Source organism: Homo sapiens, chromosome 12 (assembly GCF_000001405.40).
Source record: "Homo sapiens chromosome 12, GRCh38.p14 Primary Assembly".
Taxonomy (NCBI): domain Eukaryota; kingdom Metazoa; phylum Chordata; class Mammalia; order Primates; family Hominidae; genus Homo; species Homo sapiens.
In genome coordinates, this window is record NC_000012.12 from 128534219 (window position 1) to 128549104 (window position 14886).

At 45.9% G+C, this 14886-nt stretch overlaps 1 protein-coding gene across 3 annotated transcripts in view, besides 1 other annotated feature; it reads left to right on the forward strand.

Moving 5' to 3' along the window:
* The window catches only part of TMEM132C (transmembrane protein 132C), a 440742-nt gene that overhangs the window by 267049 nt on the left and 158807 nt on the right, over nucleotides 1–14886 (forward strand). For all 3 annotated transcript variants that reach the window (NM_001136103.3, XM_047429886.1, NM_001387058.1), the window contains exon 3: nucleotides 9739–9885. In NM_001136103.3, the coding sequence (NP_001129575.2) occupies nucleotides 9739–9885 (147 nt within the window). The remainder of the gene's footprint in view (nucleotides 1–9738; nucleotides 9886–14886) is intronic.
* Nucleotides 9646–9821: a silencer, noted in NCBI's record as "fragment chr12:129028409-129028584 (GRCh37/hg19 assembly coordinates)". NCBI's record gives its function as "represses an EF-1alpha promoter that drives an FKBP-Casp9 reporter gene in an ReSE screen in HepG2 liver carcinoma cells {active_cell/tissue: HepG2}" and the evidence as "EXISTENCE:reporter gene assay evidence [ECO:0000049][PMID:32094911]".

Here is a 14886-nt window from a genome sequence, read left to right on the forward strand (position 1 = left end):
TGGGTTTTAACCACTAAAAACCTGAGTAGGAGCATCAGTGATCAACGTGCCTTGTAGATGGCGTGAGCCCCGTTCAGGTAACCCAGATGGGACCAGAGATGCCACCAAGTCCAGCCCTTGCCTGAGTCCCACGTGGATGCATTGCAGTGTCTAGCACAGTACTGGGAACAGTTGGTGCTCCATGCTACATGGGAAATCATCTCCCAAGCTACCAGCAATAGCAGACCCACAAACTGGAAACCACTGAACTAGGGCCACCCTGGATGCAGCAGATGAAGAAAGAAAAGCACACCTGCCTGACCCTCCAGAAGCAGGGCTGGAAGCTCCTCCCCTCCATGCAGCCTGGCTGAGCGGGGTTGGCCTCACACTGCCACTGGCCAGCTTCCCTGGGCTTGCACCTTGAAGCCAGGCATCCTCAGTGTTTACCGCCCACTTCCACTGTTTTTTAAAATGCTGACTCTGGTTGCAAAACTTCTGGTCCTGGACACAAACCCTGCAACAACTAGTTCCTTGAAGTAGACAGGAATATCCACTGCTCTTATCGAAGAAAATGCCCGATTAACACAATCAGCCTGTTAAACCTATGCATTTCTCCCATTTCTGTGGTTCCTTCTCCCACCCCATCCAGAGGTGACACCAGCCACTGCACCAGTTGGTGAGAATCCTCCTATGAACATGCACTATTAAGCGGAAAGAACAATTTGTAGCTTCAGTGAAATCTGAAATATTGAGAAAAATCCAAATGCAGAAAAAGCCAATTTCAAGCCAAGTCACATTGCAAGAGGCATTTATTTCCAGCAGTAGAAGTAGAAGGTGTCCATGCTATGAACACAACTGGGGCATTCATTTCCTGCTAGGGGCAATGGGGACTTTCCCATGCTAATGTGTCTTTGATCTTCGTCCCTCAAGCACGTCCTGGCCTCCTGGTGTTCAGAGTAGCACGTGTATTTAGTGAATCATTTAATGTAAGACTCAGAAGAAGTTTCTTAAGAGAAAGTGGCTGTGCAAAATAGACAAATGGGATCTAATTAAACTAAAGAGCTACTGCACGGCAAAAGAAACTACCATCAGAGTGAACAGGCAACCTACAGAATGGGAGAAAATGTTTGCAATCTATCCATCTGACAAAGGGCTAATATCCAGAATCTACAAAGAACTCAAACAAATTTACAAGAAAAAAACAAACAACCCCATGAAAAAGTGGGCGAAGGATATGAACAGACACTTCGCAAAAGAAGACATCTATGCAGCAAACAGACACATGAAAAAATGCTCATCATCACTTGCATCAAAGAAATGCAAATCAAAACCACAATGAGATACCATCTCATGCCAGTTAGAATGGCAATCATTAAAAAGTCAGAAAACAGGCCGGTGCAGTGGCTCACGCCTGTAATCCCAGCCCTTTGGGAAGCCGAAGCAGGCAGACCACGAAGTCAGGAGATCGAGACCATCTTAGCTAACACAGTGAAACCCCGTCTCTACTAAACGTACAAAAAATTAATCAGGCATGGTGGCAGGCACCTGTAGTCCCAGCTACTTGGGAGGCTGAGGCAGGAGAATGGCATGAACCCGGGAGGCAGAGCTTGCAGTGAACCGAGATCACGCCACTGCACTCCAGCCTGGGTGACAGAGCAAGACTCCATCAAAAAAAAAAAAAAGTCAGGAAACAACAGATACTGGAAAGGATGTGGAGAAATAGGAACGCTTTTACACTGTTGGTGGGAGTGTAAATTAGTTCAACCATTGTGGAAGACAGTGTGGCGATTCCTCAAGGATCTAGAGCTAGAATTACCATTTGACCCAGCAATCCCACTACTGGGTGTATACCCAAAGGATTATAAATCATGCTACTATAAAGACACATGCATACATATGTTTATTGCAGCACTATTCACAATAGCAAAGACTTGGAACCAACCCAAATGTCCACCAATGATAGACTGGATTAAGACAATATGACACATATATACCATGGAATACTATGCAGCCATTAGAAAGGATGAGTTCATGTCCTTTGCAGGGACATAGATGATGCTGGAAACCATCATTCTGAGCAAACTATCGCAAGGACAGAAAACCAAACACCGCATGTTCTCACTCATAGGTGGGAATTGAACAATGAGAACACTTGGTCACAGGGCAGAGAACATCACACACCAGGGCCTGTCATGGGGTGGGGGGCTGGGGGAGGGATAGCATTAGGAGATAAACCTAATGTAAATGATGAGTTGATGGGTGCAGCAAACCAACATGGCACATGTATCAAACCTGCACTTGTGCACGTGTACCCTAGAACTTAAAGTATAATGAAAAAAAAAGAGAAGGTGGCTGTGTGGCTGGCATGCTATTGCTGCTATGAGGGTTGGACTCCTAAGTTTGGCAGGTGAAGATGTGTTTTATCACCACCTTCCACCCGCAGTGTTCCCGCATGGGGACCCCCTGGTAATCACATTCATCAGCTATGTCTAGCCTTTTAACTATTCACAAGAATGTATCTCCTTCAGTCTGGGAGGTTAATAGGGGGTGCTTGTGTGTGTGTGTGTGTGTCTGTGTGTGTAAGTGTGTAATTTCCTTTCATAAGACATGACCTTGCATATGTCAACTGAAGAATGATGAGGTTCATACATTTGGAAAGAAGAGCTTTATTTCTCATAAAGGATTGCAGCCTGCCAGGTGGCCATTCTGACAGGCTGGGAAGTGTAGCCTCCAGCCAGAAGCAAGAAACAAGCCATTCAGAGATGGGAAGAACAAGACAGGGATTTATGCTGAGTAAGAAGGATAAATATGCATATTCAATAAGCCATAGGAGGAGTCATGAATATTTATGGGAGGAGAAGCATGTGTATGCACAGCTGAGTTTCATGCCCTTTCATGGGTCCCATGTGCAAAAGATGACAGGGATAGCATGATCCCAAGGTGGGGTTTTCAGCCCTCTGACATCAAAAGATGAAGCAGAGGACATGAAACCCCTCACTGTGCATCCTCAGTAGATGGCCAGAACCACTGCAAGGTTAGTGGTCTCTTATTAGGAAGGAACCCTTTTGTCAAAACCATAAAAGGGCAAGGCAGTATCAGGCAGTCTTTGGTATCTGGAGCAAGTCTTTCCAAATGGCTGGTTTCCGTTTAGCCCTCAGGGAGAAAGCCTAATGGTGCTTAGGGAAGGAGGGGGGATAAGGAGGTGTATCCAGCCTCCCATCCCATCATAGCCAGGAACTCAGTTTTCAAGGTTTCACTGGCATCTCCTTGGCCAAGAGAGGGTCCGTTCCATCTGTTGGGTAGCTTAGAATTGTATTTTTATTTCTTGCATGTAATTTAGAAGGTCAAATAGTTCTGCAGAGTTTATTGGCAGAAACCTGTATACAACATTCTCAAAGTGTGAGAACTGTAGTGCTAGAGAACAGACCAGTTACAGGATTCGAGGAAGGTGTGACTATGAAGGGGGCACATGAAGGAGCTCCTCTGTGTTGAAGGAACAATGCCACATCTTTATTATTGTGATGGCTACTCAAATCTATACATAGGATATAATTTCATAGAACTATACACCAAAAAAGTTCATGTGAAAACGTGTAAAATCTAAATAAGGTATGTACCTGGTTAATAGTAATATGCCTATATCAATTTCCTGGCTTTGACAATGGACCACAATTATGGTCAATATTATCATTGGGGGAAGCTGGATGATGGGTACATGGGAACTCAGTATTTTGTTGTTTTGCAACTTTTTTAAATTTACTTTTTAAGACAGGGTCTTACTCTGTTGCCCAGGCTGGAGTGTAGCAGTGCTATCATAGCTCCTCCTGGCCTCAAGTGATCCTGCTGCCTCAGCTTCCCCCATAGCTGGGACTACAGGCACACTCTGTCATATGGGGCTTAATAGTAATAGTACTAGTGGTGGTAGTAGTAGTAGTATTTTGAGATGGAGTCTCGTTCTTGTTGCCCAGGCTGGAGTGCAGTGGCACAATCTCAGCTCACTGCAACCTCTGCCTCCTGGGTTCAAGTGATTCCCCTGCCTCAGTCTCCCAAGTAGCTGGGATTACAGGTCCCTCCCACCATGCCTGGTTAATTTTTTTTGTATTTTCAGTAGAGACGGGGTTTCACCATGTTGGCCAGGCTGGTCTGGAACTCCTGACCTCAGGTGATCTGCCCGTGTTGGCCTCCCAGAGTGCTGGGATTACAGGCATGGGTCACCGTGTGGGGCTAATTATTTTATCTTTTTGTAGAGACAGCATGTTATTTTGTTGTCCAGGTTAGTCTCAAACTCTTGGCCTCCAGGGATCCTCCCACCTCCCAAAGTTCTGGGATTACAAGTGTGAGCCACCAAACCCAGCCACAACTTCCTCTTAATATCAAACTATTGAACTATTTAAAAATACAAAGTTATTTTAAAATAATACTGCAGTGCCCTGCTCCCTTTTACTGCTTCTCTCCACGCACAGAGGCAAAATTCTTTCCTCACCTGGTATTTATAGGCATATCACCGAGTAACGCACTGATGTTGACACTTTTTTTTAGGCAATATCTATAAATTTCCCACTATGGAGAATTAGGATATATCTCTTTTCTCCCCCACATAAGTGCCTCCCATTTTATCTCTCCATCCCTCAAGTATAATAATCATATTTTGTCTAGATTAATATTCAGTGTTTAAAATATAAGTACATGTGCTAATCACAGTAAAATCAAGTATTAAATTATGATTACTTTTCCTTCTCTGCATAATGAGTTCTTATCTTCAGGATTAAAAACTGATTGGGTTTTATTCTTTTTCTTGATTTTCTGTATATTTAGCTCATATTTATCCTGAAACTCTCCTCTAGTTGTTTAAATGTCCTCAAGGAACACTTATTGAACATCATGTTTATTAAGAAAATTTTCGTTTCCCGGGGAAGTCTTTGCCGGAATCTTCTCCATGCCTCATGCTCTGCTGTTATTCAAGGACCTCTCTTCACCATCAACCTGGGATTCTTTCCACGTCACTTGTATTTGGGATCTGTTTCCCTTGTCTCATGTCTTCCTTCCAGCTTCACTTTGTGGTTTGATGGAACACATGCTCAAGTAGGTTCCCAAGCATGAGTGTAAGGAGTAAATGACCTTAGCACACACATGTGTGGGCTGGGCGTGGTGTCTCACACCTGTAATCCCAGCACTTTGAGAGGCCGAGGTGGGCGGATCACAAGGTCAAGAAATCGAGACCATCCTGACTAACACGGTGAAACCCTGCCTCTACTAAAAATACAAAAAAAATTAGCTGGGCGTGGCGGTGGTCGCCTGTAGTCCCAGCTACCCGGGAGGCTGAGGCAGGGGAATCACTTAAACCCGAGAGGCAGAGGTTGCAGTGAGCCGAGATGGCGCCATTGCACTCCAGCCTGGGTGACAGAGCAAGACTCTGTCTCAAAAAACAAATGAACATGTGTGTGTGGAAACACTGAGCTCATAGGGTGGATACAGAATTCTAGGTTGGAAATAATCTCCCCTTTCAATATTCAAGACATTTTTTATTGTCTTCTAGGTTACGGAGTGGCTGTTATGAATTCTGAATTCTTTCTGATGGTTTTTTTCTCTCTAGAGGATTGTAGAATTCACTTCTACATACGCCATCTTCCAAAATGTATTGATCACGTGGCCTGGTGTGTGTCTATTCTCATTCATTGTGCTGATCACATAGTGGGCTCTTCCAATCTGAAAACACATCCTTTCATTTGGAGACATTTTCTTAAATTATTTCATTAATGATTCATCCTCTTTCTTTTCTCTGTTTCTTTTTTCTGTTATTGACATATTGAACCTCAAAGCCATCCTCTTAATTTTTTTCTCCTATCTTCCACTTCGTCTTTTCTCTGCTTCTTAGGAAATTTCCTCAACTTCATCCATCAACCATTCCACCGACTTTCCATTTTGCTATATTTTTAATTTCCAAGGGCTCATTTTGTCCCTGCTGCGTGTTCTTTTTTTAAGATATAGCAGTCATTTTTGTTTCATGATTGCAATATCTTCTCTTATCTCTTAGTGAATGCGAATGATTCTCTGTTTTTGGTTTTGTTTTGTTTTGAGACAGAGTTTCGCTCTGTCACCAGGCTGCACTGCAGTGGCACGATCTTGGCTCACTGCAACCTCTGGCTCCTGGGTTCAAGTGATTCTCCTGCCTCAGCCTCCCGAGTAGCTGGGACTACAGGCATGCACCACCATGCCCAGCTAATTTTTGTATTTTTAGTAGAGATGGGTTTTTGCCATGTTGGCCAGGATAATCTCTATCTGCTGACCTCATGATCTGCCTACCTCGGCCTCCCAAAGTGCTGGGATTACAGGCATGAGCCACCACGCCCAGCCAATTCTCTGTTTTCTTAAACACGGATATTCTTTACTGCATAGGCTGTATTTCTGGTAGGTTGCTGCCCTCCCCTCCCTGCGTTTGCCTGTTTCAGTCTTTCTGCGTGGACAAATACAAACTACTTCCTCTGCTCTCACCCCACAACAACCAATACAGAGGACTCCTGTGGCCAAGCATGGGGCAGAGGGGGTGGTTTCTCCCATCGGCAAGTGAGTGAGCAGTTCTGCAGCAGATGTCAGCTAGGTGTCCTCTAGTTCAGTTCCCACCATCTCTACCTGGAGAAATCGTCAGGGCCCGCGGGTCGAGGGCTCACTCCCCAGGACTGCTCCCCACTGCTGATACCAACTGCAAGCCCTGGCTTACTCTGTCTGTCTGTTTCTCTCTGTCTCTGTCTGTCTACTTCTCTCTCTCTTTCTGTCTCTATCTCTCTGTCTGTATGTCTCTGTCTGTCTGTCTATCTTTCTCTCTTTCTCTGTCTCTCTCTCTCTCTCTCTGTGTGTCTGACTGCCTGGCTTTAAAGTGGGGTTCCCATGACCTCATCCTCAGGTTTGATTAATTTCCTAGAGCGGCTCACAGAGTTCAGGGAAACATTTACTTATGTTGACTGGTTTATTAAAAAGGATGTTATGAAGGATACAGATGAGGAAACATGTAGGACAGGGTATAGGGGAAGGAGTATGAAGCTTCCTTGCCTTCCTGGGATACCACCTTCCAGGGACACCACCTTCCAGGAACCTCCATGGATTCAGCTATCAGGAAGCTCCCCAAATCCTGTCCTTTGGGGCTTTTAGGAGTCTTTATAACTAGGTATGATTGATTAAATATTTGGTCAGTGGTGATGAGCCCCTCTGTTCCCACTGGAGATTGAGGGGATGGGCTGAAAGTCCAAACCCTCTATTCTTGCCTTGGTCTTTCTGGTGACCAACCCTATCCTGAAGCTACCTGTAATCCCAGCCACCAGTCACCTCCTTAGTGCACAAGAAGACATCACTATTCCCAGGATTTTAGGAGCTGTATGCCAGGAAACAGGGATGAGTACCAGATCTTTATTTCAGCATATCACGGTCTTTATATCACGTAGAGACTTTTCTTAGTGTCTAACAATTCCTGTTTGCTGGTTCATATAAAGGAGGGGGACTAAAAGGCTGTGAGAGGCTCAGAGCCCCTCAACTGCACTTGCTGACTTCAGGCTTCACTGCAGGGCATCTGGCTGGCTGTTTGGAGAGGCCATAGTGTCAATGCCTGTTGCATTTTGGTCTTAGGATGGTATCACCCTCTGGAATCCAGTGTTTCTCCTGGAGGGTGAAGATGCAGTCTAGGGGGACCCGCCTGCGAATCTCAGCATTCAGCACACATGGGGTTGTGGGGTCCCTCTGTATTCGGTGTGGCACCCCCAGGCACCCCCAGTTCCCCACTCGCCCTGATACCCATACCCAATGTGAAGTCCTGGCATCACCTGGGCATAAAAAGGGGAGTTTAATTGGCTGCTTCCTAAACAGACTTGTAGCCAACCCTCTTTATTTCAGTCCTCATTCACTCCGATTTTGTAACTGTTATCACAAACTCCTGAGTCTGGGGGGCTCTTTGGTAGAAACTGTGTTGGTTGTTGACTCTGCTCACTGACAGCTTGAAGCTCCATTTTGAAGTTCTGCTGACTTGTTTTATCCACTGAACTCCCAGTTTCCAGTTTCCCAAATCTGTTGCTGCGGCTGCATTTCCTCTTCCGGTCATGGGATTATGCCTTTTATTTTATTATTATTATAATTATCTTGAGTTGGAGCCTTGCTCTGTTGCCCAGGCTGGAGTGCAGTGGCACGATCTCAGCTCGCTGCAACCTCCGCCTCCCAGGTTCAAGTGACCCTCCTGCCTAAACCTCCCGAGTAGCTGGGACTAAAGGCATGCACCACCATGCCGGGTTAAGTTTTGTATTTTTCGTAGAGACAAGGTTTCACCACGTTGGCCAAGCTAATCTCCAACTCCTGAGCTCAAGTGATCTGCCCAGCTCAGCCTCCTAAACTGCTGGGATTGGCCGGACGCAGTGGCTGACACCTGTAATCCCAGCACTTTAGGAGGCCAAGGCGGGTGGATCACAAGGTCAGGATATTGAGACCATCCTGGCCAGCATGGTGAAACCCAATCTCTACTAAAATACAAAAAAAGTAGCCGGGCGTGGTGGCAGGTGCCTGTAGTCCCAGCTACTCGGCAGGCTGAGGCAGGGGAATTGCTTGAACCCAGGAGGCGGAGGTTGCAATGAGCCAAGATTGCACCACTGTACTCCAGCCTAGCGACAGAACAATACTTCGATGCAAAAAAAAAAAAAAAAAAAAAAATGTGCTGGGATTATAGGCGTGAGCCACTGTGCCATGAGCCACTGTGCCCAACTGTCTTATGCCTTTTAAAACAGTCCCTTTGCTCTCCTGTGAGTGGGATGAAGGAAAACGGTATGAGTAGATGTGTGTGCTCAAGCTGCTACTTGTCTCGTCCGTTTATTGATAAGGAAAGTGAAATTGAGGCTGGCTAAGTGGTGTGATCAAAACAACAGCAGCTTTAGGAGGAGCTCTTTGCCTTTTTGTTGCTTTGTTTTTTGGTCCCTGACTTAATGTATCTTTGTTAAGTGTGTGCCAGGCAAGTCACGTTAAGCAGGTTGGGGACTTCCCTGGAGTGATGTGACAATCGCTAACATTTATTAAGTGTGTATTGTATGCCTGGCGCTGCTCTTGTTCTAATCTCTTTACATCTATTTAATCATTACAGCAGCTTTATAATGGGAGCTACTATGATCCTGCTCTTTCTTACAGAGGAGGGAGGTGAGGCATGAAGTTATGCCTTGTCCAAATTTGCACCGCTAGGAAGTGGTGAAACTGGGGTATGAACCCAGGACCGGCTTTCCTAGTAGTATTGACACTGTGGGCCCAGTGGCTCTGTGTGGTGGGGCTTTCAAGTGGGTTGCAGGCTGTTTAGCTACGTTCCTCCTTTCTCCTCACTTCCCTACTGGATAACAACACCCCCCACACACACAGCCATGACAACTACAAGTATCTCCAGACATTGCCAAATGTCTCTGGCAGGGCGCAGAGCCCCCTGAGTGAGGAGACGGACCCAGGCAGGCTGAGTGCATGCCTTGACAGCTCTGCCCTGCCACCTCCTGGTCTGGTGAATTCCAGGGGTCCTTTTTCCTCCCCCTCAGAACCGGACAGCAAGGTCTGTGACTGCCTTATCCACAGGCAGATCCCGCTCGCCCTGCCCTGGCATCACCACCACTGGGCAGCTTTGCCTCTCACTAGATATGAAAAAAGTGGAAAAGCAAAACAGAAACTAAAGGTGACAACTCTGCAGAGCTGGGCACGTTGGAAAGGCCAAGCCTTAACCCTGTCTCTCTCTCTCTCCCATCTTCATCCCCACAGAGCCAAGGTGAAGAAGGGGGTGAACATCCTGAGTGCTCAGACCCGTGAGCCCCGGCAGTGGGGCGTCAAGCAGGAGGTGGGCAGCGGCGGAAAGCACGTGACGGCCACCGTGGCCTGCCAGCGCCTGGGGCCCAGCCCACGCAACAGGTAAGCGGTGCCCTCCCTGCAAGCGTGTGTGGTTCCTGGTCCCGGGCCCAGGCCGGCTGGTGCGTAAGAGCCTTGACTTGGACTCGCGTGAGCGGCTGCTCAGAGGAGCTATTGAACCCACCACGTGGAAATCTGGAGGCATTGATATCCATGCAGGACCCTCTGCCTCTGCAGCAGGGCGGGGTGGGGCGCTCGCTCTGCAGCGCTGCGGGGTCAGCTTTGGAGCCGGGTGAGCTCATCTCTGCTCTGATAGGGCTTGTGCATCCTCCACACCTGAACTGACTTTCTGGGGGCCTTGCCCTGCCTACATTATCAGAAGATGCTCGGTTACAAAGTACTCATTTTTTCATGAAGGGGAAGATTGAGTTTTCAGTGAGAAGGAATTTAAGGAAAGGTGGTGACAGTCAGTGGCAATAATGGAGAAGCACCTGCTATGTGAGATTCACTGTAGACATCCTGGATGATTTTTTAAAATAATTGTTTTCTGGTTATAAAAGCAATTCAGACTCATTTTAGAATATGAGGAAAGCACAATTATAGCGGGGGGAATCATGTGCCAATATCCTTCCTACTCAAGGGTAACCCACTGATAGCATGTTGGTTCATTTCCTTCCAGGGTGTTATACCTGTGTAAGGCTAATGTATGCTAAATATATTTAGTTTACAAATTTGGGATCATCAAATACGTACAGATTTTAAGGACACTACAATTTTCACTTGTATTGGAAACATTTTCTCTTGACATTAAATATTCCTCAAAAACATTCTTAATAGCTTTATAATATTCATCAGACGGATTTAACGTAACAGAAACAACCAACCATGCCTGTATTTTACCATTTAGGTTGATTCCAAGTTGTTTCTAAATTTCAACTTTTATTTTAGATTCAGGGGGTACATGTGCAGGTTTGTTACGTTTATATGTTGCCTGAGGCTGAGGTTTGGGGCATGAATGATCCCATCACCCAAGTGGTGAACAGAGCACCGAATAGGTCGTTTTTCAGCCCTTTATTCCCTCCCTCTCCCCGGCTCTAGGGGTCCCCAGTGTCTGTTGTTCCCATCTTTATAACCACATGTACCCACTGCTTAGCTCCCACTTATAAGTGAGAACATGGAGTATTTGGTTTTCTGTTCCTCCATTAATTTGCTTAGGATAATGGCCTCCAGCTGCATCTGTGTTGCTGCAAAGGGTATGATTTTGTTCTTTTTTATGGCTGTGTAGTAGTCTATGGTGGATGTATACCAGATTTTCTTGATCCAGTTCACTGTGGATGTGTTGATTCTGTGTCTTTGCTATTGTGAACAGTGCTGCAATGAACACATGAGTGCGTGTGTCTTTTTGGTAGAACAGTCTATTTCCTTTGGGTATATACCCAGTAATGGGATTGCTGGGTTGGATGGTAGTTCTGAGTTCTTTGAGAAATCTCCAAACTACTTTCCACTGTGATCGAACTAATTTACTTTCCTACACACAGTGTGTAAGTGTTCCCTTTTCTCTGCAATGTCTCCAGCGTCTGTTATTTTTTGACTTTTCAATAATCATCGTTCTGACTGGTGTGAGATGGCATCTCATTGTGGTTTTGATTTACATTTCTCTGATGATTAGTAATATGGAACATTTTTTTCATAAGTTTGTGGCCACTTGTATGTCCAAGATTTATTCTTATAGATAATGCAGCAATAAACCACCTTCCACATAAATCTTTGTCCACATCCCTTTTTCCTTAAGGTGGCTTCTTGGATTCAAAACGTAAGATTATTTTTCAAGGCTCTTGTATTCTGCCAGTGTATTTTTCTGAAGGGATTGGTATTAAAGAAAGAAATAGTCTATTACTGGACACATTTTCTTAAGTGACAGCTGCAAGTCACCATGAAAAATCCTCAAATTCTCTGCTTGGTTTAGAACCACGCTGTTCTTTTGCCCACAGAACCCACTCCTCTGTCCTTCCTTTAATGTGTAATGAGAAAAAGAAAATCTGGTGTCCCAAACAGTTCACAAACTCAAATGCCAACCGTCACCATCATTACCCCAAGAAGGATTTTAGTGCATCTGGCGGAGGTGAGGTCAGGGACAAGGGTTGGGTGTCTGAATCTTTGATTTGTGAAAACATGGCCAGAAAGAAATGTGTTTATGAGTCCCTTGTTCCAAGCAGGAGATCAGAGGCCAAATTAAATCTCCTGAATCGAATGCACATGAAGTCTAATTAACCTGTAAGATTAGTGTTGATTATGCAAATGAAAGCGAATGTGTTCATTAGCAGGTGGCAAAGTTATGTATGTGAATAGTTCTTCACATGGGAACCTGAATGAGAAGCAGAGCGAGGGAGATGAGCCTCATAGTGTCGAGTCCTGAAGGGCTCCTGTGGCCACCCTGTTTGTTCTGAGCTTCCAGGCACCCCACTTTGACCCCAGTTGTGTTTGCTGTCTCAGTGGTAAGCATTGTGCATGAGTTTCCACAGTCAGCCATCCTGAATGTTTTGGCAGACTGTGGACAAGAGGAAGATCTGAATCTGCAGAAATAGAGAATAATGGCATCTGAGGCACAGAAAGAGGCACTGCAGATGGTTAGACCCCAGAAATGTGTTCAAAGAGGAGGGCGGGTGGTGCATTGGGTGGAGTCACCATGCCTGGCCCCACTTTCACTTATAAGGGCCATTGTGGTCATGTTGGACCCACCTGGGTAATCCCAGATCATCACCCATATCAAAACCTTCACTTAATCACATCTGCAAAGTCCCTTTGCCTTGTAAGGTAACATATTCACAGGTTCTGAGGATTAGGATGTAGACAAATTGGCCTGCCTCTGTCTTCTTACAGCATGGCCTCTGTCATGTCCATTCAGTCCTGAGTCTTTGAAATGCTGGGTTTGGACACCTTGGGGTACCGAGGTCAGGCCAGCGAGTGCACCTTCCAAGATTCCCAGGGCGGGGAATGGCGTTCCTTCCCATGGAGCTTTCTTGGTAGCCGAGGAGGTCTGATAGCAAGATCTTTCTTATGTATAGCACTGCCACGGGCAATGGTGTCGCCCTTCCTGGCGGGGTCCAGCAGAAGCAGTCAGTGCCAGCCAGGAGTGTGTATTCTTGCTTCAAGGTGAGGGTTGCGCAGTCAAGTATCTGAAGCCTCATTGGCACTGAGCCCCACCAAGGCCATGACTGTGGCTGCTTGCAGGAGCCTCTCTGCAGGACTCTGAGAGCCTGCACTGGCTGGATGGCACTCACAGGTGCAGACAGTGGTTCGTTCCTTGCCTTTGGCTCTTGAAATATCCCATTGTGAAACCCCATCTCTACTAAAAATACAAAAAAAAAAAAAAATTAGCCGGGCGTGGTGGCGGGCAGCTGTAGTCCCAGCTACTCGGGAGGCTGAGGCAGGAGAATGGTGTGAACCCGGGAGGCGGAGCTTGCAGTGAGCTCAGATCGCACCACCATACTCCAGCCTGGGCGACAGAGCAAGACTCTGTCTCACAAAAAAAAAAAAAAAAAAGAAATATCTCATTGTGAGCTTTTGCATTTAGGTGAGTCACCAATTTGAGATGTGGAAGCTGCAACTGTGTTTTCAGATCTTGGCCACATCCCCGTGTTGGCCACATCCCCTGGCTGGTAAGACAGGGAACCTAGGGAGACATAAATAGTTTCAAAAGGGCGAAACTGGTCAGCCCATGGAGAGGCTGTCACACCAGCGGCTTCCCCAGGCAGGTCCAGAAAGGTGGTTCTGGAAGGTTTTACGACCCCCTGCCAACCATTCCCATCTGTAGCTGTTTCTTCAAAGGCACAAACACCAAACACACACACCAAGTCTAACTAAAAGTGGTGGCTTTGTAAACAAGCACAGCTTCAGAGCATGCCCCCTGGCCCTTTGCCCACATGACCGCTCACCCCTGTTGATCCCCCATGACCACTCACCCCTATTGATCCCCATACATAGAAGCCTTCTACATCAGGAGATGATGGTAGCTGATCTGGGGAGCTGAGCTCTGAGAGCGGCAGGCAGCTAGTGGTTAAACACGCCTGTTGTTGATGCCTCAAGGGCTCTGAAAGTCATTCTAGTCAATAAGTTTCAAACAGGACCATGAATGGGCACCAAGGGCCCCCCAATCCCTAAAATTGCTTGAAAATATATGGTGTGTGAGAGACTGCCTCCACGTGCCATTCTCATTACACCACTTTCACTGCTCTCTTCCAATTCTTTAACTCATATGAACTGGTCGTCCCTGAATTGAACTTGGTTGACCTGTGTTTTTCATGCAAAAATAAAATTTCAGTGATATTTGTTGGGACACACAAAATCTCCAATTAGCCATAGTCCCCATTCCACCCTATGTCTTGTATCTGGCCTCTCCACTTGTGAACTGGCTACGTGGTTTGTGAAGGTGTTGCAGTATGAAAATCCAGTGTATCAGTCAGCTATGTAAGGACCCCGTGATCATGTAGGGCCCACTTGGATCATCTCTCCGTCTCATGATCCTTAACCTAATCACATCTACCAAGTCCCTTTGACTTATAAGGTAACATATTCATAGGTTCTAGGCACTAGGATGTGGACAAATTTGTCACAATCATGCCACATAAAAAAACCACCCAAATCTCAGTGATTTACAACTACAGTTTGCCCTCCATATCCATGAGTTCTGTGTTCACAGATTCCAGATTCTTTTAGTGGAAGATTGTGTCTGTATTGCACATATACAGACTTTGGTTTTCCTGTCATTATTGTCTAAATAATATGGTATCACAGTAACTATTTACATAGCATTTACATTATACTAGGTATGATAAATAATCTAGAGATGATTTAAAGTATGCAGGAGGATGCGCATAGGTTGTATGCTACTACTACATCATTTTATCTAAAGGACTTAAGCATCCATGGATGTTGTCATCTGCAAAGGGTCCATGAGCCAATCCCCCTTGGGTAACAAGGGGAAACTGTCCAAGCTTTGCTCTCATGCTCCCAGGGCTGTAGGTCAAGGGCAGTCTGGACCTGCTAAGGGGAAGCTCAGGCGGG